A 26,614-nucleotide genomic window follows, 5' to 3' on the forward strand; every position below is an offset into this window, starting at 1 on the left:
TACTTTTGGTAGAGATGGGGTTTCACCATGTTGGCCAGGCTGGTCTCCAACTCCTGACCTCAAGTGATCTGCCCACCTCGGCCTCCCAAAGTGCTGGGATTACAGGCGTGAGCCACTGTGCCTGGCCATCACTTCATCTTTTTAAGTTCAGTCACAATAAATGCAGCCTAGGTTTTCTTATGAAATTAGATGCTTAAATGATTATATTTTGCCATGAGGTGTTCTCAGGTTTGAAACTCGTAGTTCTTCCCAACATTGTCTGTAAAAATAGATTTTAAAATGACTTTTTAACTACAAAAGTAATGCACATCAATTAAAGAATGTTTGAAAAATATTTAAGGATACATAATCTCATGACTAAATGAGAACTACTGTTGACATTTTGTTATAGAACCTTACTCTCTTTCCTATGTCTGTACATTGATTTTGTTAAAGAAAAATTCATTTATCTCACAAATATTTATTGAACTTCTATATCTGTCAGGCTCTATACTGGGTACTTGGAATAAGTGAGAAAAAAGGCAGACAGAGTCCCTGACTTCATGGAAGGCAGACATTAGAGAGTAATTACAATAATTCATGACAGATACTGGGATGGAGGGAACATGACATGGGGGCTGGTGGATTGTAATCATTTATTTTTGTTTTGTTTCATTTTAGTTTTTGTTTGACAGAAGTTTAAGCATATTGTAGTTTAATAAGTTGAATAGCTTTATAAGGACTAATAGGAAAAACAATGACCACCCTGAAACCCTTTTTCTCATTTTCCCTTCCCATGGGTAGTACTTTAAACTCTTCAGATGAATCTTTTGGAATTTACCTCCATATCTATTGGTTTTTCATTATGGAAGGTGAGAATTTAACTCCCTTTCATCCACTCCTCAACACATGGCTCCTATCCCCCCATCCCTTCCATACAGTTAGACCATATTCTTTATTTACTCAGTATTCAGTGTTTACATTGTAGTAACTATGTAGATAATGTTTACAGCTGAGCCATGTGGTGTACTATGAATAGATTTTCTTTCCTACGCAGCTTTTTGATTCCTTACAGTTAAATCATTGTCTTATGTTTTTCCTTTGCTTAGTTTTCTCTCTTTTTATTGCTATTTCAACCCAACTCTTCTCTGGCTCTCTAAATGTCCCCTCCATATGTTCAGACACAGCATTTTCATCTTCTTGAAGAAGTCTCCCTTGAGCCTTCTCACTTGCCCTACCTGGACGGGACATCCTCTTTTCCTGTCTTCACCCGAGGATCTTAACTTGCCCCTCTCCTGTTGAATTCCCTGTTTCCTGTGTCCCCTGCTCCCTCTTTCTTGGCTTAGCCCCTTGCTTTGCTTGAGCATGTCCTTTAGTAGCTTCATGAGACAATTACATGGGAAGCAAACTTTTTACCACTTTATAGTATGAACACTATTTTTTATTCTAGCTTCAGAAATCTAGGTCAGAAATCACTTTCCTTCAGAATTTTGACAATAGTGCTCAGTTTTTCTCTAGCTTCCAATATTGCTGCTAAAAAAACACCAAAACTTTTCTGACTCCCAGTTTTTTGTGTGTGACTTGAGTAGGTTTTTTTGTCTCCCTCCTCCTTTTATTTTGTCCTTTTAGTGGGATTTTAGGAAGGAGTAAAAAGAAATGCTTTTCCTCTGATATAGTTTGAATGTTTGTCCCCTCCAAATCTCATGTTGCAATGTGATCTTCAATGTGGGAGATGGGGTATCATGGGAGGTGTTTGGGTCATGGAGGTTGATCCTTCATGAATGGCTTGGTACCCTCCTTGCGGTAATAAATGAGTTCTTGCTCTGTTAGTACACGAGAGCTGGTTGGTTGGAAGAGCCTGGCACCTTCTCCCTTCCCTCTTGCTCCCTCTCGCTCCCTCTCTTACCATGTGACACACTGGCCCTCTTTTCACCTTCCGTCATGAGTAGAAGCTTCCTGAGGTCCTGACCAGAAGCAGTTGCTGACACCATGTTTCTTGTACAGCCTACAAAACTGTGAGCCAAATAAACCTCTTTTCTTCACAAATTACCCAGTCTCAGATATTCCTTTATTTCAATACAGAATGGACAAACATACCCTGAATTCACTGTCATTATAAAAAAAATACTATTTTTACAACTTTTTCTATTTTAGAGACAGGGTCTTGCTCTGTAACCCAGGCTGGAGTGTAGTGGCATGATTACTGCTCACAACCTTGGACTCCTGGACTCAAGTGATCCTCCCACCTCAGCATCCCAAAGTGCTGGGGTTACAGGCAGAACCACTGCACTCGACCTGGAACTTATTTTTTATTGAATAACCTATAATGGACAACCTTCCATGTCATGAAATATTCTACAATACTACTTAATGGCTTGAGAGAATGTGAGTTATTGAACACCATCCTCTACTGTTGGTCACTTAGGTTGTTTGTAATTTTTCACTATTATAGATAATATATGAATATGCATCTTTTCCTGTTAAATTTTTGCACTCATTTCTGATTATTCACTAGAATAAATTTCTTGAAGTGTAATTGTAGGGTCAAAAGATTCTGAGTATTTTGATACATGTTGCCAAATTATCCTTTGAAAAAAATGCAATTTGCACAGTCACCGTGGTATATGAGCAAAGCATTTCCTTACATCCTCAATCTTCCCCCCTTTGCCGCCCTTTGTTTTTATTTCCTTTGCTTAGAATAGCATTCCACTTGCACATGATTCAGTAACTTGTTTTTTTCTTTAGTGTCTTAAGAGAGAATAACGGCCGGGCGCGGTGGCTCACGTCTGTAATCCCAGCACTTTGGGAGGCCGAGGCGGGTGGATCACAAGGTCAGGAGATGGAGACCATCCTGGCTAACACAGTGAAACCCCATCTCTACCAAAAATACAAAAAATTAGCCGGGCATGGTGGTGGGCACCTGTAGTCCCAGCTACTCGGGAGGCTGAGGCAGGAGAATGGCGTGAACCCAAGAGGCAGAGCTTGCAGTGAGCCGAGATAGCACCACTGCACTCCAGCCTGGGCAACAGAGGGAGATTCTGTCTCAAAAAAAAAAAAAAAAAGAGAGAGAGAGAGAATAAATATTTCAGTAAGGAAAACAAGGTGTTATTTGTAGCTCTCTGCAAAAAGAATGATTCTTGGGGATTTGGATATCTGAATTTCAGATTTGGTTTTACCACTAACTTGATTTTAATAAATAATAGCTGCTATTATGAGCTTGTGCAAAAGTTCAGAGGAGGAAAAAACAATGATCGTTGAATTCAAATATCTACAACATTCTGAATTAATTTCCAATGTTTTCCAGTGTAATATATTAATGCATTTTATTTAATTGCAACCTATGTTGTGTTTGATTTTTTCCACTTTATATGTCTCACTATAGTTGCCAGGTTTGTCAGTGTTAACCTCTTTCAGTATTTCTTTCTTTCTTTTTCTTTTTCTTTCCTTTTCATTTCTTTCTTTTCTTTTTTTTTTTTTTTTTTTTTTGAGACAGGGTCTCTCTCTGTTGCCCAGACTGGAGTACAGCGGCACTATGTCGGCTCACTGCAACCTCCGCCTCCTGGGTTCAAGCGATTTTTCTGTCTCAGCCTCCCTAGTAGCTGGGATTACAGGCACCAGCCACCACACCTGGCTGATTTTTGTATTTTTAGTAGAGATGGGGTTACGCCATGTTGGCCAGGCTGGTCTTGAACTCCTATCCTCAAGCAATCCACCCACCTCAGCCTTCCAAAGTGCTGGGACTACAGGCATGAGCCATCATGGCTGGATGCAGTATTTCTTGTATCCTGCTGTATTCAGGGCATAGTTTGTTTCTTATTGTCCTATTGCTGCAGGTTTCAATAGTCTCCTTTTTATTTACCTCTATGTCTATCAATTTATCTTCATTTTATGACTCATCACTATCATTCCCCCCTTATTAAAAATTAATAATTGTTTCTTTCTTTTGGATTTTTTCCTTGGTGTTTTCTCAAAATAAGATTACCCAAAATTCAATGTTTGCATTCTTCTTCTTTTTTTCTTTTCTTTTTTTTTTTTTTTTTTTTTTAAAGATACAGGGTCTTGCTATATTGCCAAGGATGCCCTTGAACTCCTGGGCTCACGCCATCTTCCTGCCTCCCTAGTAACTGAGACTACAGGCACACACCACCTCCCTGACCAGCTTTCAATATTTGCATTCTTTGACGTAGTGAATCTTACTATATATGGTCAGACGGTGCTGTTGCTAGGAGACACTGATGAATAGTTGCTTTATCTCTGTTGCTTTTTGTCTCCCAAACTGCAAGCAGGGCTAAACAATGTCTGTGAGACTCTTTGAGCACAGAGATGTTAATGAAAGTAAAGGACAAAACATTCAGGCACTGCTTTGAGGATAACATCAGAAAATATGATATCATATGATATCACCATCCAACAGCTAATGGGTGGATCTTGCTAAAGTGGTTTCTTGTGGTTTTACTGTATGCAGTCAACTCTTGGGGTGTGGCTGCAGTTCACTAATATGGGAATGAAGTGTTCATATGATAAAGCGGATAATGAATATTTCCCCTCAGGGTGAAAGAGACCATTGATTATCTAATAGGTGTCATGTACATATTATTTTAACAGCTCTAGAAGCTGTTCTTCTTTATAGATGAGAGGATTATAGTTCACAGAAGTTAGTTAACTTGCTCAAGGACAAACAGTAAATAGCAGAGCCAGAATGCAAGTAGAGGTCTATTTGACTACAAAGCCCATACTCTTTTCTACTGTACCACAGTACTTACCTACAATTGTGTAGTGACCTGTAAGTGAAGATGTACATGTATTTTGTAGGTACCTTGTTTATTGTCTTGGCAGAATCTGGCTAAAGGTAGAAAATGTTCATTCATGTCCAACTTTATCTTTGTAACAGATAATGAACCCAGCCAATTCTCAGAGCCCAGGAAGACTTTGTCCCCAACTGGTACAGCACAACCAAGCTGGGGGGTAGATCCAAAAGAGGGGCCTCAGGAACTTCAGGAAAAGAAGATACAGGTGCTAGAGGAGAAGGTTCTTCGACTCACAAGGACGGTTCTTGACCTCCAGTCTTCCCTTGCTGGAGTGAGTGAAAATCTCAAACATGCCACTCAGGATGATGCCAGTAGAACACGGGCACCAGGGCTCAGCAGCCAGCACCCCAAGCCTGACACCACTGTTAGTGGAGACACAGAAACGGGCCAGAGTCCTGGTGTCTTCAACACTAAGGAATCTGGCATGAAGGACATCAAGTCTGAATTGGCTGAAGTCAAAGATACTCTAAAGAACAAAAGTGACAAGCTGGAAGAGCTGGATGGAAAAGTGAAGGGCTACGAAGGGCAGCTCAGACAGCTCCAGGAAGCAGCTCAGGGCCCGACGGTGACCATGACAACCAACGAACTCTACCAAGCCTATGTGGACAGTAAGATCGACGCCCTGAGAGAGGAGCTCATGGAGGGCATGGACAGAAAGCTGGCTGACCTGAAAAACTCATGTGAGTACAAGCTCACTGGCCTCCAGCAGCAGTGTGATGACTATGGGAGCAGCTACCTGGGAGTGATAGAGCTCATAGGGGAGAAGGAAACAAGCCTGAGAAAAGAAATAAATAACCTCCGAGCCCGGCTACAGGAGCCTTCAGCCCAGGCAAATTGCTGCGACAGTGAAAAGAATGGTGACATTGGTCAACAGATCAAGACATTGGACCAGAAAATCGAGAGAGTTGCTGAAGCCACCAGAATGCTGAATGGAAGACTGGACAATGAGTTTGACCGCCTTATAGTTCCAGAGCCAGATGTGGATTTTGATGCAAAATGGAATGAACTCGATGCAAGGATCAATGTGACGGAGAAGAACGCTGAAGAACATTGCTTTTACATTGAGGAAACCCTTCGGGGCGCCATTAATGGAGAGGTGGGTGACTTGAAGCAGCTTGTTGATCAGAAAATACAGTCTCTGGAAGACCGTCTGGGGAGCGTTCTCCTACAGATGACCAATAACACTGGTGCAGAGCTCAGTCCCCCAGGGGCAGCAGCCCTGCCAGGAGTGTCAGGGTCAGGAGATGAACGGGTCATGATGGAATTAAACCACCTGAAGGACAAAGTTCAAGTTGTTGAAGACATTTGCCTGCTGAACATCCAGGGAAAGCCTCATGGGATGGAAGGTGCCTTGCCAAACAGGGAAGACCGCGCAGTACGCGACAGCCTGCACCTTTTGAAATCTCTCAACGACACGATGCACAGGAAGTTTCAAGAAACCGAACAAACCATCCAGAAACTTCAACAGGATTTTAGTTTTCTTTATTCTCAATTAAACCACACAGAAAATGATGTGACTCATCTTCAAAAGGAAATGAGCAATTGTAGAGCAGGTGAAAACGCTGGCATGGGTAGGTTCACTAAGGTGGGTGAGCAAGAAAGGACAGTGGACACCCTGCCGTCCCCCCAGCACCCCGTGGCTCATTGCTGCAGTCAGCTGGAGGAGAGGTGGCAGAGGTTGCAGAGCCAGGTCATCTCGGAGCTGGATGCTTGTAAGGAATGCACGCAGGGGGTCCAGAGGGAGGTCTCCATGGTGGAGGGCAGGGTGTCTCATATGGAGAAAACTTGCAGCAAGCTGGACTCTATCTCAGGAAATCTTCAGAGGATCAAGGAGGGGCTCAACAAGCATGTCAGCAGCCTGTGGAACTGTGTCAGGCAGATGAACGGAACGCTCAGGTCGCATTCCAGAGACATTTCTGGCCTGAAGAATTCAGTCCAGCAGTTCTACAGCCACGTCTTCCAGATTTCTACTGATTTGCAAGATCTGGTCAAATTTCAGCCATCAGCAAGTAAGTTGAATATTACAATTCTATTTCTTGTATTTCTTTGCAGCACGCAACAACATTTTAAAAATAATTTTTTGTTCATTTTTGATATTGTTGAAACTTCATGAGGTAAAAATGTGACAGTATTATGCTAGATTTTGGACAGTTCACGGAATGAACTAAATGCCATCAGTCCTACCCAAATGTGGTTCATAGATTGGTGCCTGAATTATCTGGTGCTGAGTAGCAATAAGATAAATATATATTCTCAGTGTTAATATTTAGGAACTTCTAAAATAATTTGACAGACTGGTTGCAGTGGCTCATGCCTGTAATCCCAGCACTCTGGGAGTCAAAGGAGGGTGGATCACCTGAGGTCAGGCATTCGAGATCAACCTGGCCAACATGGCGAAAATCCGTCCCTACTAAAAATACAAAAATTAGCTGGGTGTGGTGGCACGCGCCTGTAGTCCCAGCTAGTCGGGAGGCTGAGGTGGGAGAATTGCTTGAACCTGGGAGGCAGAGGTTAAGGTGAGCCGAGATTGCATCACTGCACTCCAGCCTGGGCAACAGAGTGAGGCTCCATCTCAAATAAATAAACAAACAACATTGCAGTATTTAAGCACATGATCTACGTAATTTACAAAAATATCAGTTCACAACACATTGAAAATAAAAAAGGAAAACTGGTTCTTCCCACAGATGGATAGCCAAATATTATCTGTAGAATCAGGCTGGTGAGCTCAGAGTTGGGGTCAGATTTTTGGCATAACAGCTTGGGGCAGTGGGTGTTGTCCTCTCTTCTACCTAGGGAGTCTCCTACGTACCTCTCTTCAAGCATCACTTTTTATCTGTGTCGTTATCATCTTCAGGGCTTAGCTGATGGCAGATAGGATGCTGTCATATTTGTTTCCAGACACAGGACCGTGGATGAGAGCAGTTTAGGGACAGGAAGTATCTAAAGCTCCATAGTGCCTGCATCCAGGAAGCTCAGCAGTAGTGCTGAGAGCAATGCTGGCTACACCTTAGGCACTCAACAAATGTTTGTTGAATGAATGAATGTGAATGAATGAATAATATATGTAATAAGATTTTTTTGTTACTTGTGGGTGCTAAACGCAGCCTTCTCAAAGGACAGAGCTTCTCTTGTACCTGGGTTTGTACTCTGAGACAGCCTCCGACATAAGCTAGCCCTCTCTAGTCGGAGTCTGGGCGTGAAAGGAAGGAAGAGGGAGCTCGCGTTTTTGAACACTTTCTATGTACAGCACTGGCTTGGTCACTTCAGGGGGACTGAATCCTATCATGGCCTCACAGAAAGGCTGTTTTCCAACAGGGAAAATGTGCCCAAAGTCATGTGGCTGTTCAGTGGGGGAGCCAGGATGGAAACCAGGCCAGGCTGCGTCCAAGAATTGTTTTCTTGCAGTCCAGCCATGATGACTGTGTGTCTCCCAGAACTGAGTGCAGACTTACTTGGTCCATGGGGACTTGTTGAGGGGCCTGCTTTGTGCTAGAAGGAACCTATTCCTGACCTCCCCCTCCCTGTTTTCTTTTCTCCCATCCTTGCCTTTGGGACTTTTACCTCCCTGACCTGGTTCCGCTCTGGGTGACACAGGCCCTTGCACAAGGAACTGAGATTTCATGGCCTCTGTGAACCTTGGGATTTTATGATCAAGTCCCAGATGAGACATAAAACCCAAGGCAGCGTAGGCTAGAACGTGGGAAGCAGGCGAGCTCTGGCTTGGTCAGGGAGAGCCAGGGCCAGGTCCTGGCAGCTCAGGAGGGTGGAGAGGGTCCGAGGTAGGTGGGAAAATGCCCTGGATGTCCCCAGAGCACTGTGCTTATCTTGCAGATGACGAGTCACCTAGGCCCAGGAGGACCAGGAATCTGGCCGCCACCCGAGTGTCCAGCCCACTGCACCTCACTATTTATAACCCAGCCCTTCCCCCACTCCAGGGCCACTCAGCTCCTCTATCTCTGGAATGTTGAGTAGAGGTCACAAGACCATGTATGTGTTCATAGAATGATTGTCCCTTGTGGTGACAACGCTGTCTGGTCTGTGTCTTACGATAACAGGTTGAATCAGATATTTCCAGTTGATTTGGAACTCCCTGGTGGCGTGGGAAGCTGTGTTAACATTTTCGCATTTGTCTGTTGCAGTAGGAGTTGGGGGGTGAATTCTTTTAAAAGAGAATGTGCCATACAAAACATTATCCCTTTGGACTGAACTCATTGTGGTGAGTGTAGACTGCATGGAGTTTTGAGAATTTCATTGATTGGAAAAGAGCCAGAAATAAACAAGCAGAGCCTCCTCTGCCCTTGTCTAGCATCCAGGTCTAGGAGACCTGGAACCTGAGTATCAGAGGTGCATGGGAGAATCTGGAGCTAAGGTCACAATGAAAGTGACATGTCAATCAGTTAAAAGTCAACAGAATGTTTATTGAGTGCCTACGATGTGCAAGGCTCTTGGGGGACCTGGAGATAAGTAGGCATAATCCTTATTCTAAAGCATTTGCAATCACAGTGGGAAAGAGACTCACAGGTCTGCAGAGAGATGAATGAGATTGTTTGTGGCATAGCAGTTTATCCCTTTAGTTCATAAGCTCTTACTGAGCCCCTATTATGTGGTAGGTAATGGCTGTGTGGGGGAGTATGTGGATAAAAGTCTGATGGGGAAACAAGCAGACAGATGGTCACAGGAATGGGGTGTGGTGTGCATGAGCCACCTTGAGTGTTCAGAGAAGCACCCACAGTGGAAGTCAGGGAGGGATTCTCAGGAGAGAGCCCTGAGCTGAGCCCTCAGTGTAGGTATTTACCGAGCAGAGTACAGAGGCTGATGGGGTGAGGAATAAGGTGAGATGAGAGAAGCTTCCAGGAGGAGGTGTTACTGGATCTGATTGAGGGATGGGTGGGATTCAGAAAGCAGGAGGGGAGGACATTGTGGATTAGCTATTTATTGCTTTATAACAACCCATTCCAAATCTTGCTGGCTTAAAACAACAAAGATGTATTAGTTTCCATTATTCTGTAGGTCAGGAACCCCGGCAGGGCTTGGCTCAGCGGTTCTTCTGCTCTATGTGGCATCAGCTTGAGTCGCCCACTCAGCTGCATTCAGCTTGCGGTTGACTGGAAGGTCTGTGAAGACTCAGTCATATGTCTGGTGCCTCGGTGCTCCTCCACCTGGCCCCTCTCTCCATGTGGCCAACCTGGGCTTCCTCACAGCATGGCGGTGTCAAGTAGTCAGACTATGGCGACTGTCAAGGGAAAGTGGAAGCTGCTGGGCCTCCCACAGGCTAGCCCAGAGCTGGAGTGGCATCACTGCCACATTCTATTGTCAAAGCAGGTCTGCTCTTGAAGGGTGACGTGGCTGGTATGTTTGGGGAGGGAAGGGGGATTAATGGTGGTCATGATATCTACCACAGTGAGCACAGATCCAGAGGTGAAGATGTGTGATGGTTTTGGACCAGTAAGCAGATCGCCAGACCGGGAACACACACTGTGGTGTTTCTACTCAGCCTGTTGCCCTCTTCACAGATCCTGTTTCCTTTGGAAGCATCACTGAGGTGAGGCTGAATTATCCAAGAAGCAGCCAACAGGGGAGAAGAAGGGCCTTCAGCTGATGCTTAAATAGATCTAAGTCTCTTTTATATCCTTCTGTTAAGGGCATATATATATATAGCATATGTATATATTGCATATATATAATGAATAAATAAATATATATAATTGTTTTTGAGATGGAGTCTCCCTTTGTTGCTGGGGCTGGAGTGCAGTGGCGTGATCTTGGCTCACTGCAACCTCCGCCTCCCGGGTTCAAGCGATTCTCCTGCCTCAGCCTCCCAAGTAGCTGGGATTACAGGTGTCTGCCACCACATCCAGCTAATTTTTGTATTTTTAGTAGAGACAAGGTTTCACCATGTTAGTCAGGCTGGTCTCGAACTCCTGACCTCAGGTGATCCACCCATCTCAGCCTCCCAAAGTGCTGGGATTACAAGCATGAGACATTGCACCCGGTCAGATATATATATATTTGAGACAGGATCTTGCTCTGTCACCCAGGCTAGAGTACAGTGGTGCAATCACAGCTAACTGCAGCCTCAACTTTCCTAGGTTCAGGTGATCCTCCCACCTCAGCCACCCAGGTAGCTAGTACTACTGGCACGTGCCATCGCACCCAGCTAATTTTTTGTTATTTATTTATTTATTTTTTTAGAGATGGGTTTCACCATGTTGCCCAGGCTGGTCTCAAACTCTTGGACTCCAGTGATTCGCCTGCCTCAGCCTGGGATTCAGGCATGTGCTGTAATTACATGTGCTGGGAATTACGGGCATGAGCCAGTGCACCTGGACAATTTTTTTTTTGGAGATGGGGGTCGGGAGACAAAAGGTCCACAAGTCTGGGCACAGTGGCTTACGCCTGTAATCCCAGCACTTTGCGAGGCTCAGACGGGTGTATCGCTTGAGCCCAAGAGTTCGAGACCAGCCTGGGCAACACAGGGAGTCCCTGTCCCTACAAAAAATACAAAAAAATATATACTTTTGAGAAAATGGTCCAGGCAGAGGGAACAGCATTCTCAAAGGCTATGAGGAAGTTCTTTTGAAAAACCCAGAATAGTGGTATGGCCAAGCGTATAAGCAAGGCAGAAGGTCATCAGCAATGAGGTCAAAGCGAGGGTAGGAATGAGATCAGGCAGGCTTTCTAGGCTGTGATAAAGGAGTTGGATTTTAAGTACCGTGAGAAACTATTGAAGGATTTTGAGCTGGGGAGTGATTACTTCCGTTGAAATCCCTGCTCATCCATGCTTGTAAACAGTGGAGGATTAACTAATGTCCTGGACTTAGTAATCACTCAGGAAAATTACCTATTACTTAAACCCTCCATACCCTAGAATGGATGTTTAATCTATTCATGACTGAACTTTTCTCCCTTTCTCTACCTATAAACCCCCAGGCCTCCAGCCTTGGAAGAGAGAGGGCCTGTAAACACAGCAGACACAGGGTGAAGGGCCCTGGTGGCTCCGGTGATGCTGTAGGTGGCCACAGGTTTTTTTGTTTTTCTTGCTTTCCCTTTTTCTTGTTTTTAAAATTAGCGTTCAAATAGACAGTATAAAAAGCCTTAGAAATGGCTGGGCGCGGTGGCTCATGCCTGTAATCCCAACACTTTGGGAGGCCAAGGCAGCAGGATCACTTGAGCACAGGCGTTCAAGACCAGCCTGGGCAACACAGTGAGATCCTGTCTGTACAAATTAAACATTAGCTGGGTGTGGTGATGTGCACCTGTGATTCCACCTACTTGAGAGGCTGAGGCAGGAGGACCCCTTGAGCCCAGGAGTCTGAGGCTGCAGTGAGCTATGATCACACCACTGCACTCCAGCCTGAGCAGTACAGCATAATCCTGTCTCTTTAAAAAAAAAAAAAAAGCCTAGAGATCTCCCTTTTCAGCATTCACAGCTTCATGTATCTCGTGTATCGATAGTTTTTTTGAGCAGAATCTCATCACTTATGAACAAATTAGGTTATAAATGGAAAGGAGGCTCGAGGCCCTTTATTCCCTATGCAGTGTAGCCACGGAGTTGAGCCCTCCTTCCCAGATGGACTCGCTCCCATTTTCACAGGTGCGGGGAGCATCAGGCCTTCACACTCTCTCAGCAGGCATCCTCTTTTGTTCCTTTTTCCCAAGTTGCCCAGCCTTACCCCCACTCGAGTCTGAGTGACCCATGAGTGATTCATAGGGAATTACTCACAGGTATCCCCACAAGTGGGGGTGTGTCCTGGCCACAGGGTCTGCCTCCCAGGCACTGGGTGACCAGCAGAGGCTGACTCCCTGCCTGGGACCCAGGACTAGCCCGGCCTGCAGCCCAGTGGCAGCAGCATGTGGAGAATGGGGCAGCCCGCCCTCCCCAGCTGGCTTTAGCTTCCCCTGGCCCCACACACAGGTTGAGCCTCAGCTGGACCCTGCCTTCCCACTGTTCCTCTCCCGGTAGAGGAAGGAAGGGGTGCTGGTGGCGAGCAGGAAGGGAAGGCAGAGGGACGTAGCTGTGTGCAGGGGACTTCTCTTTCCAGATGTCACGCTTCCAAGTAGAGACAGATGTCTCTTAGATCTCAGCACACTAGAGATAATGGCATCACTTCCTTTTTCTGCTCTCCCACCCCTTTCTGCTCATGTCTCTGAGTAATTTTCATCATAGCGTTTCTTTTAGGAGTGCTGCAGGTTTAAGCGTACTATTTTTATTGAGTTAAGCTATAAGAATGAAAAAGCACAGCCTTGTCAAATAACTATTTAACCAGAAAGCCTGGCCAGGGCACTGCCTGATGCCAACATTCTGACCCCTTTGCCCCAACTCAAAATCAGCTGAGTTTGGGGAGAGTTTAGGCCCAAGGTAGCATGATGGACTTAGAGTTTTATAAACATATAAAGGCTCAATAAATTGCTTATATTCAGGCCATAGGGAACTCCTGACAACTCGCCCCCTTTATCCTGTAGGCACCAGGTTTCTACGATGCCCTTTGGTTCGTGTAAACCGCAGCTGCTCTACTGCATCTTAGCCTTGAACTTAGAGCTGCAGTGTTCGGAGAATGGAGCTTTCCCAGAGCTGCATGCATAAATGCCTCTGGGATCTTTAAAAAAAACAAAAACAAAAAACTCCTCGGCTCACTCAGGAGATCGCTGCTCAGCAGCAGGGATGAGGTGAGGGCCAGGAATTTGTAATTAAATTTATAACTAAAAAAAACCGCTAGCTCTAGTCCTGGAAATTGAAGGCTACCCCAGAGGCAGAGGGATCTACCCACCCCAGGTAAGCTGTGCCCAAAAAGAAAGAGGAGGTGGGGGGGAGGGAGGACACAGAATGAACCACTGACTGACACTGCGCCACCAATAGAAGTCAGCTTTGTGTGAGCCCACTTACGGACTCGATTCTGTTCCAGTTTTTGAGGTCTCTCCTGGTGGCTTACTCATTTAGCTTTATAGTGAGTCTTAAAATCAAGCAGTATAGATCCTCCTATGCGCTTCCATATAAATTTTAGAAACAGCTTGTGAATTTCTTTCTTGCTATTTTATTTTTTTTCAGCGGAGTCTTGCTCTGTCACCCAGGCTGGAGTGCAGTGGCACAATCTCGGCTCACTGCAACCTCTGCCTCCTGGGTTCAAGCAATTCTCCTGCCTCAGCCACCCGAATAGCTGGGATTACAGGCGCCCACCACCACGACCCACTAATTTTGTATTTTTAGTAGAGACAGGGTTTCACCATGTTGGCCAGGCTGGTTTCAAACTCCTGACCTCAGGTGATCCATCCACCTCAGCCTCCCAAAGTGCTGGGATTACAGGCGTGAGCCACCGCGCGCGGCCCAGCTTGTGAATTTCTAAAAAAAATTTAAAAATTCCAAGAGCTGCTGATGCTCAGCTGAGTGAGTGCCTTCTCTGTCGGGGTTCTGTGATAGCAAATTACTTTCCAGCTCAAATGTATTGCCACAGATTTTAGCACACATGACTAAAGCTGTATTTATATTTCAACATCCACGAGTTTGTACTTTGCAGAAATTTAGACGCATTTTCTATATTTAGCCCTATCCCACGAGTTTCACCATTCTTATGTCTGGATTCTTATTATTTTGGTGTCAATATGGTCCCTTCTGCCTTAACAACCAACACAGTGCTCCCTCTTATAAGCTTGAGGGTTTTTTTTTTCATTCAAACCAAATTCAAAAACAGCATTCATTCATTCATTTATTTATTTACTCATTTATTTTTGAGACAGGGTCTTGCTCTGTTGCCCAGGCTGGAGTACAGTGGTGTGATTATATCTCACTACAGCCTTGAACTCCTGGGCTCATGCTATCCTCCTGCGTCAGCCTCCTGAATAGCCAGAACTACAAGCACACATTACCATGCCCAGCTACTTTTTAAAATTTTTTGTCGAGACAGAGTCTGGCTATGTTGAAAGGCTGGTCTTGAACTCTTGGCCTCAAGCAATCCTCCCACTGCAGCCTCCTAATGTACTGGGATTGCAGGCATGAGCCACAGTGCCCAGCTCAAAAGCAGTGTTGAGATGGACATCGACTTGGAGTAGAACTATTCCAGGGAATGCATGTTTGCCTTCTCAGCCCCAGGGATACTTTTACATGCCTACTTGTGAGCCACCTTGGTGGCCTGCCCTCCTGTCCCGCAGGGGAGACCAACTGTTTCTTCGAAAAAGCCCCTTTATCTAAGCTCACCCCGGGCCCATTTAGCACCACAAGCGACAGTTTCTCTGAATTTTCTGATGAGTCCAGCATTTCTCATGCTTCAGTCCGTGATGGTATGGGGTTATTTCCCAGGAACTAGAGCTTTGCCACTCAGCAGAGCAGTCAACTGTGAAAGCATCTTCCATCCATCCGCCTAGCATTCTGTATGTCAGCACTTTGATGCTTTTTTTAAAAAAAAGTCTGAAGTCTTGATCAGCATCTTTAAAATACTTCTCCAGTTTCAGCATTTGGTCAGCAGGTATACCTTCTGGATGGCAGGGAGATCAGATTTCACCTTCACTGGACTTCTGATGAATTACACTTAACATTTGCACAGTGTTTTACAAATAGCGGGGCATTAAAAGGGCACACCCACATCCATTGCTTGGTCTGATTGGCATCAATTTCTGCCTGGATGACAGGAGGGCACTGCAGGTTGAGCCCGTTGCATGGACAAGGTTTCAGTGGCTTTCCCACAGCCGAGTCTCAACCACAGGCTCTAACAGCTAAGGCCAGGCTTTCTCCAACAGCCTCTTCTCTGTGACAAGACACCCCTTAGTTGCCAAGAACAGGGCCAACCCTTTCCCCAGGTCTCCTCCTGCAGCCCAGCTGCTCAGGGCTCTTGCAGAAAGCAGGGCTTCCTGGAGACAGCAGGCAACCCCTGACTCCTGTAATGAGCGAGGGTGTTAGTTCAGGGGGAAGACACTCGTTTTTAGCACATCAGCCCCATGAATTATTGGGGATTTTCTTAGGAAAGTCTTTGTTTTAATAAAAGTTGAAATTGATGTTTGGTTTTGAAATTGACTTTTAATAGGAGCTTTCGAGGAGAGGGAATGGCCTTTAATCCCTACACGTCAGGTTCACCCATGGTGAGGCTGTGACCCTACCCGACCCGTGCGGAGTGTCAGGCAGGCCTGGTGCAGTGTGGCTGGTCTGTCCCTATCATTCCTCAGGAGTTAAAACACATGAGGAGCAACCTTGGCTCTTATGAAGAATTCATTTCAAATGGTCTGTTCTTGAATTAGAAACACATGTTCAGTTCAGAAAGCAGTCGGCTGCTGGAGAGGTCTCTTTCCAGAATGAGCAGAGTGCTATCCAGCCTTTGTTAGGACTTGGTCATAAATGTGTGCGTTCGGCACCCCACGTGATGCTGTGGACTAAGCCAGAGCTAGGAGAGGCCAGGGCTGGGGGCACCCATCCCAGTGAGACGTCGCTTTTTCATGACTGTCTCTGCTATGATGTGGCGGGCTGCTTTGGAGCCTTCAGCCATCCACGGCACTCATGCACGGACTCCCCAAGGAGATCCACTGAGGATATCTGGCTCAAGGAATATCTTAGTTCATTCTTTTTCCTCTGCCTTCCACTAGTGTAACAAGTCTGGGTGTTGAGGGTGTAATGGATATATTAAAATGGATTATAGTAAAAGACAGAATGATCACTGTCCTATAGGTATCAGAACTGCCTTGTTAGGACCCCAGAATGGCAATTATTTTTGGCAAAATTAGGGTTCCCAACTTAATGGCTGGCAGGAATTAGGGTGCATGGCCCATAGCGCCTGTCATAGATAGGTTGAGCCTTCTTTTATTCACCCAATACTTAAATTGTTCAATGTCAGTTACCAGGCCTTGTGCTAGGCCCTGGGGATGGCAGAGAATTAAGATGCTCAAGTACTCATCAGTCAGCCAGAGAGGAAAGGTCTGAACCACAGAAAGAGCCCCCAGAGGTTCATGTTGTTTCCTGGTGCAGAGGCAGGACTGTTCAAGCCTGCTGGGCCAATCCAAGAAGGCTTCATGGAAGAGGTGGTTTTGAACTGCGACTTCAGGAGTGGGTGCCGTTTGTCTCAGTGAGGGTGCTGGAAGAGGCCATTTCAGGGGTGCACATGGTAAAGGCACGAAGCCAGGGAAGTCACATGAGAGCTGGGTACCAGTGAGCATACTGATGGCAGCCAAAGGAGGCGGGGGACTCAGAACGTCAGGCCGGAGAGAGTCAGTTTGATTTTTACGAGAAGTGGAGAACAATGGAAGATTTTTGAGCAAAAAATAATATGATTAGAATGCTTTCTAAGAGCATTCTGGAAAAGGTGTGAATGAAGGATCCAAGCAATATTTCCAAATTAGAATCAGCTGGGCTTAGCAACAAATTTGTGTGTGAAGGAGCAGGAGGGGGAGACCAAAGGAGAAGGAAGAGTGAAACAGGACTCTGTGCCTGGATGAGGGAGAACAAGGGCGGATTTCAGAGGAAAAGGGTGATTTGACGGGTTGGTGAGGACAGGGGAGAAAATAAGGGCCAGTTTGGGTGGCCTGTGCTTTGCCATTTTAAGATGCTTTGCTGACTAACTTATCGAGGGTTGAAGGACAGAGGAAAATTCTGTTTTCCCCTGAGTTTTAGATAGAGAGACATACGCTTGGGCTAAAAGGAAGAAACTAGTGGGGAGGAAGGAAAGAGAGGTTGAGAAGAGAGAGGAGTGATGTCAGATGGAGCTGATCCAAGAAGAGGAGGGAGGGTGGGGCTGGGGCTCAGGCAGAGGCGTGTGCCCTGGGAGGCAGGCCAGCTTCTGAGCCAGGGAGACGGTGTCCAGAGAGGAGGAAAGAAAAGAAAGATGAGGAGTCAACTCAAGTGTGCTTGGATTAGAGGGGAAAGGGCAGAAACAGGCCGTCAGTGTCTTCTACAATTATATTTTATAAAAATAAGTAAAATAACACTAAGAAGCTCATAATGAAAACCAGCTCCCCTGTTCCCTTCCCCATCCTTCTTCCCACGCCCCAGAGGCAGCCACATGTAAATCTTCCAGCTGTTTCTTTTCTTTGGTACTTACCTCCGTATTTCTAAATTGATTTATCAGCTTTAGACATTGTATATTGACCCCCCCTTCCTCCCAATTCCCAACAGAGTTATCCTACAGTCAATATGCAACATCTATGCTATGCTGAGCTCAATAGCTCTCTAAGGTTGTGTTGCTTTCCTTTTTACTTTTCTCTTAATTGGTAGTAGTGTTGCTTATATCCTATGTATCTATTTTGGAGTCTTCCTACCCTTCAACAGCCTCTTAATACAATTTTCTACATCATAAAAAGTATCAGATCATTTGTCAGTTCCATTTTTTTTAAAAATTGACCTCCCTCCTGGAATTCTTGCTCTTTCTGATCTAACCTGGACTGGTTATTTTCTAGACTTTTGCAATAAGGCTTTCAATCTGAGCCTGCCTTCACTACTATCCTAGAAAAGTCTTTAGCCTCTCTCCCCTTTCTTTTACTCTCTGTTGCTTTTTCATGGTTTACTCCCTTGTTTCAGTAGTGCACATTTCCCAATACCTTTTTAAGAAAGGGTGCGTGAGAGATGGCATTTTATAATTTTTTAAATATTGCCTGTCTAAAAATATCTTTATTCTACTCTTGTAATTGATGGGTATTTTTGCTGGGTACAGATTTCAAGGTTGACAATTACATTCTAGCATTGTTTGATGACATTGTTCCCTTCTCTTCTAGTTTCCAATACTGTTGAGAAGCCTGGTGATGCCTTCCTGATTTGCAGTCACTTTTTATATTTTTTCCCTTGAAAGTTTGTAATATCTCCTTTTTATCTTCAGTGTTCTGAATGTGGCTTGGTTTATTCCTCTTATTCAGTAATTGTGCTGGCATCTTTCATTTTCTTCAGTTCTGGGAAGTTGTGTGTTTATTTGATAATTCTCTCCTTACCATCCCATTACCCCTACATACCAGTTTTTCTGATTTCTTTTTTTCTGGAAGGACTTCCTAGGTTGACCCTTTAATTTTCTTATGATTTCCTTCCTATTGATCATCATTTCGTCATCATGTTCTACCTTCTGAAAGATTTCCTTGATTTTTATCTACCAACCCTTTCATGGAAATCTCTGGTTTTGGCAAGTGCCTTTTTAATCAGCAAAGGCTCACCCTTATTCTCTGACTATCCCTTTTGTATAGCAATCAATTCTTGCATCTTGGATGCAGTATCTTCTACTTCTCTGAGGGTAGGATGTGTTTATTTTCTTGCACTGTGTCTGTCTCTTTAGAGTTCCTTTTCTTTAGTTGGTGTGGCTTGCTTTGGTCCCTGTCGTTCACACAGGCGGCTTTCCTCATATGTCAGGTGATTTTGACTTTGGTTCACATTTAATGGGGAGACACTAGATAGAGTTTCACGACTGTGGGCATCATAGGGTCAATTTGAAGAATCCTCCTATATCCAGCTAGAGGTATAAGCAAGTGGCTGGGAGCTTAGCAGAGGATGGGGACTGTGAGCCTCCTTATTCAGGGAGCAGACTTTCGCTTAGTGTTTTTAGACTGGTATCTTACTCCTATCTTCCACTGTAGCTGGTATCTGCATGTTTTTCAATCCCTCTGCCTCAGTTTCTCTGTCTAACCCAGCCTTTCTCAACCAGGGTTCTAAAGAGATGTAAATCCTGATGCCATTCTATTGTATGGCGTGAACTAACTTCTCTGTATCTAGAATGGAATTAGCTCTGTATCATCCTCAGGGAAAACTGAGAGAGTAATCACTCAAATTGTTTTCTCTTGGGCTTCTCTCATGGAACATTGGTCAGGAAAGGCTGTTGGAGAAACTGCCTCTCTCAGGGTGTTCTGGCAACCTGCCTCTGTGGGTGGGGCGGGGGGGGGGCATGTATTTGATCTGCCATATTTATCTTAGTTTTATTTTTTTAATTTTTAGTTGTTATGTGTACAGAGTAGATATATATATATATGGGGTACATGAGGTATTTTGATACAGGCATGCAGTGTATAATAATCGGGGTAATAGGGTATCTATTACCCAAAGCATGTGCCATTTCTTTACAGACATTCCAATTCTACTCTTTTATTTAAAAATGTGCAAAAGATAATTGCTGACTGCAGTCACCCTGTTGTGCTATCAGATACTAGATCTTATTAACTCTGTCTAACTATATTTTTGAACCCATCAACCACCTCCACTGCCCTTCTCCCCAGCTTAGTGAGGCTGGAGTGCAGCGGGCGATCTCGGCTCCCTGCAACCTCCACCTCCTGGGTTCAAGTGATTCTCCTGCCTCAGCCTCCCGAGTAGCTGGGATTACAGGTGCGCTCCACTACCCCGGGCTAATTTTTGTTTTTTTGTTTTTTTTTTTTGGATATTTGGAAGAGATGAGGTTTCGCCATCTTGGTCAGGCTGGTCTCGAATTTGGGGGCTCAAGTGATCCGGCCGCGTCGGCCTCCCAAAGTGCTGGGATTACGGGCGTGAGCCACCGCGCCCGGCCCGCTTAGGGAGTTTTAAAACAAAACTAGACGGCAGGTCGGGAGGCAGCCGCCGATTTTTGTCGGGTCCTAAACAAAAATCAAATGTGTTGCGCTTTGGAACTCTGGGCATCGTGGGCACCAGGCTGACGGGGGCGGCGGGGATGGCGTTTCTTGGCGAGCGGGTCCCTCAGCCAGGCCCGGGTATTGTCAGGCGTCCCGTGGACGGTCGGGAGGGGCTTCCTGGAGGGCTCGTTCCGGGAACGAGTTCAAAGGAGGAAAGGGCGGCAGCTTCCGGCGCCTTCCCCAGAGGGCCGGGAGACGCACGCCAGGAGCTTCCTCCGTTGGAAGTCCCTTCCGCTGGCGACGTGGGCGCTGTGGCCGCGGCCCTCGTGGAGCCTGAGCCCTCCTCACGGCCTCCGCGCAGCCCTGGGGCCCCCCGGCAGGGTCCCTCGGCAGCCCGCGGGAGAGGCCGTGGGGCCCCGGCAGGAGTGTGGTTCAGAGACGGTGCGGGGGTCGGTGGCCTCAGGTCCCTTTCAGTCACTTGCGACGCACCCGCGGTTTCCGCGTGCTGTGAAATCGGGAATTGTTGATGCCGGAGCCAAGAGTGAGGCCGGTTTGGAAAGTGCAGCCGTCTGCGCCGGAGAGGCTGGAAACGCCCCGGCCCCGGGCAGGGGTCCCCGGCGGCGTCCGGGTGGCCCGCGGCGTCCTCGGAAGATGCGGGCGGACGCCCGTGTGTCCCGCTGGCCTGACGTCGCAGGGGTGGCCGCAGAGTCCTCACGGGGACCCCGCTCGCCGGGACTCATGGAGGGGACCCTGACGGGGCAGTCAGGGCTGAGGTTTCCTAATCCCGTGTGTTTCTTTCTCCCCGACGCCCGGCAGAGGCGCCCTCGCCCCCGCCGCCCGCAGAGGCCCCGAAGGAGCCGCTGCAGCCCGAGCCCGCCCCGCCGAGGCCCAGCGGCCCCGCAACCGCAGAGGACCCTGGGCGACGGCCCGTCCTGCCCCAGCGGCCCCCCGAGGAGAGGCCGCCCCAGCCGCCAGGCTCCACCGGGGTCATCGCGGAGACGGGCCAGGCCGGGCCCCCCGCAGGCGCAGGCGTGTCTGGGCGGGGTCTGCCGCGGGGCGTGGACGGCCAGACCGGGAGCGGCACCGTCCCCGGCGCAGAAGGCTTCGCGGGCGCACCAGGTGAGGCCCGGGGCTGCGCGGGGAGGAGCGCGGGGCTCTCCCGGAACTTCCGCCTGAGCCTCGGGGTCTGCTGAGGGGCGTGGCGGTTCGGGGTCCAGCCTTCGGGGGGGCAAGTTCCGAAATGCAGCTTTGGAAGGATGCCGAGGCCCGAGGGACCGCTCATGCTAGTCCAGCACACGGAGGCCGGGGCACCTCAGGGACAGTGCAGTCGTCTGTACTTAGACATACTGAGTGGCCCCGCCGGTTGGAGTACGAGTGCCACACGGGCAGCTCATTGATTCCCAGCAGGAAGGATCTTGGAAGCCAGAAGGGTATTGGGAGCTTGGGTAGCAGCAAAGCAGGTGGCACAGCAGCGTGGCTAGGCAGGAGGGCTGTCTACCACGGGCTTCGGGACTTGGGGCAGCTTCCTGAGCTCTCTGAGCTGCAGTTCCTTCAACCACAAAATGAGGAGAGTGCAGGACCTCAGAGGCTTACTGTGAGGATGGAGAAAAGCCCAGTTCAGTGCCCCACTGGGAAGTGCTCCCCATGAGTTGTGAATGTCTGCACCATTACTGTCGTGGTGACAGTGGGGGTGGTGTCAGAGTAGAGACAGGAGAAGGAAGTGAGCATTTGTGGGATACCCACCACGTGCCAGGGACTGAACCCTATCTGGATCTCCTGCAGCCCTCCCAATGGCACTGTGAAGCCAGTGTTGTTTTACAGATGAGGAAACTGAGATTTGTGGCTATAACAGATAAACAGATGACCCTGAATGGGGCAGGTCATGTCATCTGCCATAGATACATGCATAGAACAATGCAAACCAGTCAGTCCCCTCTGAGTCAGACCAGGCTGACCATCAGGGACATGCAGACACTGGCAGGGCTGGGGTTGTTCCCCATCGGTGATAGCCTGGTGCCCCCATGGCCCCTGATGCCCACGGCTGTCTGGAAGGCTGGGTCACTGCTGAGAAGACAAGGAGACATTTTCTCTCACCAGCTTTCTTTTTTCTATTCCTTCTTAGACACCTGAGCTGCGGTGATCACAGCTCTTAAGCAGATGTCCTGCATTTTCTAAGATAACACTTATCTTCTGTTAGTTCCATGTATCATGGATGCTTAGGCTCTCTTGGGCTATTTGTTCCCTCATTTGTCCATCCACGCACCCTTCCGTGCATGCAGCACTCACCCATGCATCTATCCGTGTATCCCTTCCATCCACCCTTCCATCCAGCCACCCACCCACACATGTATCCGTGTATCCACCCATCGATACATCCATCCACCCACATATGCATCCTCATATGCAGAGGCTGGGGCACCCCAGGGACCCACCCACCCATGTATCCATGCACATATCTGTCCACCCACCTATGCATGTGCACATCCTTCCACACATCAAGCCGTGCACTCTTCCCTGTGTGCATCCACTCATCCATCTATTTGTCCCTCCACTTCTGCACCCACCCATCCATGCCTCCATTTAATAAGTACTGCATTCAGTCTAGTTGAAGGTAGAGCTCTTGAACAGATAACACTGCTAGAGGGCAAATGTTAGTTGGCTTGTGTGACTCTCTCAGTCACAGAGAAGTCTCCAAGGCTCCAGTGCCCATCTCTTTCTTTCCTGCAGCCAGCTTGCCCTCAGTGCCCTCTTCCCCGCCAGGGATAAATGGGCTAGTGAGGAAGCAGGGACGGGCTGGTACAAATGTGCCTCTGCTTGAAGGAGGGCAGTGACAGTGGGTGCCCTTGTTCTATGTCTGTTTCTATAGTAGTGAAGACTCGATTTGAACTTGTGAGGAGCAGAGGAAAAAGGGGGCTCAGAACAAGGAGCTGGTGCTTAGGGTCTTGTTTGACATGCCATTTCCTTTCTGTTTTTCAGGATACCCGAAGTCACCTCCTGTAGCTTCCCCAGGTATGTCTGCTGAGAGACCAGGAGCAGGAGGAGCGGTCTCCTTGGTGGCCTCTGCCCCTCCTCTGCATCTCCTGCCTCCTCCCTCCAGGCTATTAGCACAAATCAAGCCTGGGCCCAGCCCTTCCCCACCCACCAGCACTGGGACAGCCCTCTGCTGACTATAGTGGACCAAATTCCCCAAGGTTTGCTCCCCAGAGAGGGTCAGAGTCAGGCCCAAGACAAGGAATCTTCCCTCCTCCATCATCCCAGCTCATTGAGTTTCCCAAGGGGATCACTGGGTGGGCCTCTGCCCTTGTGTGGTCCTGATGAGCTTCCTGGGGCTCCAGGTTTTACTGATTTATTAGTAAGGAAGCAGCTCCCTAGATGATGATGCACCCACTGCCTGGCCTGGCCTCCTAATATGTGTGCTCACAAGTGTGTGCACACACTCACACGCACATACACATGCTCATCTCATATGCTTACATGCCCAGCCTCACACACACCCTCCTAACAAGAGTCTGTCCGGTTTCTCAGATTCCTCAGCTGTCCTGCCTGCTGATCCTCAGACAGGGAACCCTCTGGCTGTTGGGCATGAGGAGTTTGCTTCACCACTTTGGGTGAAATAAAATGGGCCTGGCACCTGGGCCTGGCACGTAGGCCTCAGTTTTCCAGGCCCTCCCCCTGGAGGACAGAAGCACCCGGGTCAATCCATTCCATCCTTTCTCTGCTCCAGGAGCTCCGGTGCCTTCTCTGGTGTCTTTTTCTGCGGGGCTCACCCAGAAGCCTTTCCCCAGTGATGGGGGCGTTGTCCTCTTTAACAAAGTGCTGGTGAACGACGGGGATGTTTACAACCCCAGCACCGGTGAGTGTTTGAACGGAACTGGTACTGTGTCCTCCTCCTACCCCAACGCAGGTGGGACCCCTCCCACCATGGCTGGCTGGTTCCCAGCGTCCCGTGGGCTCAGGGAGGACGCCACCCTGGAGCAGATGCCCGAGTGGGCCTGCACTCCTCTGCCCGACTCTGTGGGCTTTCACGTAGAACGTGTCCCAGCTCGAGGGCTGCAGGCTGCATGGGTGTGTAACATTTTCTAGTCGTGAGGTCAACACGCTAGTCCTCAGCATTCACCACTGGGGTTGCTATTCATTTTTTACAGCAGTTATGAGGGCTGTGCCGGCACAGCCCGCCATGCCCTGGCCACCTCTGATAGCCACCATTGCACCCCTCTCTCAGGCTCCGACAGTCATCCTGACAACCTGGGCCAGGACAAGCGGGAGGCTCCCTCAGGGTCTCCTAGTTTATGATGAACAGAGCCACAAGAGGGACTGCGCTCCCCAGAGGGCCTCATGCTCTGCAACAGAATCCCTTCAGCTGGGAGCCTGAGTCTTTCTGCAGCGCCTGGCGTGTCCCCCTGCCCCGGGTTGTTGCTGGAGGTCCCAAGGATCATGGGTGTGGAGTTTACCTCCGAGTTCCCTGTGTCCCATCAGTGTCCACCTGGGCTGGGCTGCTCTGCCCGGACGGAGGGCAGCTCCAAGGAAACAGGGTCCAGGGGTGCCTGGGCCCATCAGGACAGAGCTCCCAGGCAGGTGTGGGGAGGTCCCCACAGCCCGGGGTCTTTCCTGACGTCTCTCTCTGCCCTCAGCAGTCACTGTTCTGCTCACGCACTGTGAACAGGGCCTCCTGGAGGGGGGTGGGGCAGTGGATTTCAGGGAGGCCTTGCCACCCATAAGCCACTGGGAGGGAGGGGGACTTGGTTTCCTTCTTGGTAGTTTTTAGCCACCCCCAGCCTCACGTTTGCCCTGTCTAGTCACTGTCTGGCTAAATCCCATCTGTCCTTAGTCAGTGGCTCTTAACTGTTATGTTAGCAAGCCTAAGTTACCTGCAGAACTCAGAGAAATGAATTCTCAGTGCCCCAGGCTGATTAAGCTGGAGCTTGGCATCTAAGGTCAGGGCGAGAGGGAACGCCACTTACTTTCCACCGCCATGTAGCTTCCTCCTGGGCCCCACAGACCTCCAGGCCTCTGCTCAGAGTGGCAGTGGCCTTTGGGGTCAGTACATCAGGGAAGGGGAATCCATACAGGCCTCAATGCTTGCCTCCTCAGAAGAAAGAATTTGACCAAGGGGCATGAGGCAGAGTGAGACTGAGGCAAGTTTTAGAGCAGGAAGGAAAGTACACTCGGAAGACGGCCAAGTGGGCGACTTGAGAGATTCAAGTGCGGTCTGACAGGTGACTTGGGGTCTTATACATTGGCATGCTTCCAGGGTTGCGTCCCTTTCCTGATTCTTCCCTTGGGGGGCCGTCCGCATGCACAGGGGCCTACCAGTGCCTAAGAGGGGGGCGTGCGCAGTGTTTCCTGGAGTTGTGCATGTGCCCACGTGAGGTGTTCTTCCTGTACCAGTCAAGTGTTCCCAGGAGGTCACACACCAGTTAAACACCATTTGAAACATCATTTTTGCCTCTTAATGCACATGCATGAGCTTCATCGCCCAACTCCGGAGATCTTATCTGGAAGCAGCTGATCATCAGCTTCAGGTTTTGTCTGACTATTGGGCGACTGCCTTTCTGTGGTGCTGGCTGCAACCAATCATTAATTTAGAGAGACAGTTAACAACTGCAGGACCATCATCTGATGGTTGCCTGACATTCCTAGTTGGGGTAGGGGCTCTCCTGCCCTGCTCCCATCTGCCTGACTGTAACAAGGCCATGCTCCCCAGGTCACTCTGCACTGCCTTGGCCATAGGGATGGTTCGTCTGCTTGGACAGGTTGGGTGGTGCTTGCAGGCAGGGACTGTGACCTATAGTCTCGCATTCCCAGAGCTATCTCTTGTCTTGCATGGAGCAGGTGCAGAAAGAAAATTCTGGGTGAACTGAGTGAGGCTTCACCACAGGCGACTCTGAACAAAGGTGAAGGCCACACTCAAAACGCCAGGGCTGGTGCTGGCCTCAGGGCCAGGTACCTTAGGAAGCATCTGGAAAGCCCTCAGTTACTTGCTGTTCAAAGTTGGGAAGGGGACTGGGTAGCCAGACCTCTTCTGTTTTCCAGAGCAGATTGAAGGCTTGGGCTCCTGACAACCACTTTTTTTTTTTTTTTTTTTTTTTTCTGAGACAGTCTTGTTCTGTCACCCAGGCTGGAGTGCAGTGGTGTCATCTCTGCTCACTGCAACCTCCGCCACATGGGTTTAAGGGATTCTCGTGCCTCAGCCTCCTGAGTAGTTGCGACTACAGGTGCACGCCACCACGCCCATCTAATTTTTTTTGTATTTTTAGTAGAGATGGGGTTATCCGTGTTGGCCAGGCTGGTCTCAAACTCCTGACCTCAGGTGATCTGCCCACCTTGGCCTCCCAAAG

At 48.2% G+C, this 26,614-nt stretch overlaps 1 protein-coding gene across 5 annotated transcripts in view, besides 2 other annotated features; it reads left to right on the forward strand.

Annotated features, from left to right (window-relative positions):
• Positions 1 to 26,614, forward strand: part of EMILIN2 (elastin microfibril interfacer 2) — a 69,772-nt gene that overhangs the window by 39,459 nt on the left and 3,699 nt on the right. For 2 of the 5 annotated variants that reach the window (XM_047437884.1, NM_032048.3), the window contains exons 4-7: positions 4,871 to 6,796; positions 21,093 to 21,395; positions 23,253 to 23,285; positions 24,001 to 24,129. In XM_047437884.1, the coding sequence (XP_047293840.1) occupies positions 4,871 to 6,796; positions 21,093 to 21,395; positions 23,253 to 23,285; positions 24,001 to 24,129 (2,391 nt within the window). Of the gene's footprint in view, positions 1 to 4,870; positions 6,797 to 10,191; positions 10,501 to 21,092; positions 21,396 to 23,252; positions 23,286 to 24,000; positions 24,130 to 24,498; positions 24,852 to 25,367; positions 25,492 to 26,614 lie in introns of those variants that run through there. The other 3 variants (XM_047437886.1, XM_047437885.1, XM_047437887.1) reach the window with 3 other exon arrangements.
• Positions 20,595 to 21,454: a silencer, noted in NCBI's record as "silent region_9250". NCBI's record gives its function as "represses an Ori minimal core promoter by ATAC-STARR-seq in GM12878 lymphoblastoid cells {active_cell/tissue: GM12878}" and the evidence as "EXISTENCE:reporter gene assay evidence [ECO:0000049][PMID:35858748]".
• Positions 21,895 to 22,094: an enhancer, noted in NCBI's record as "active region_13028". NCBI's record gives its function as "activates an Ori minimal core promoter by ATAC-STARR-seq in GM12878 lymphoblastoid cells {active_cell/tissue: GM12878}" and the evidence as "EXISTENCE:reporter gene assay evidence [ECO:0000049][PMID:35858748]".

Source organism: Homo sapiens, chromosome 18 (genome assembly GCF_000001405.40).
Source record: "Homo sapiens chromosome 18, GRCh38.p14 Primary Assembly".
Classification (NCBI taxonomy): Eukaryota; Metazoa; Chordata; class Mammalia; order Primates; family Hominidae; genus Homo; species Homo sapiens.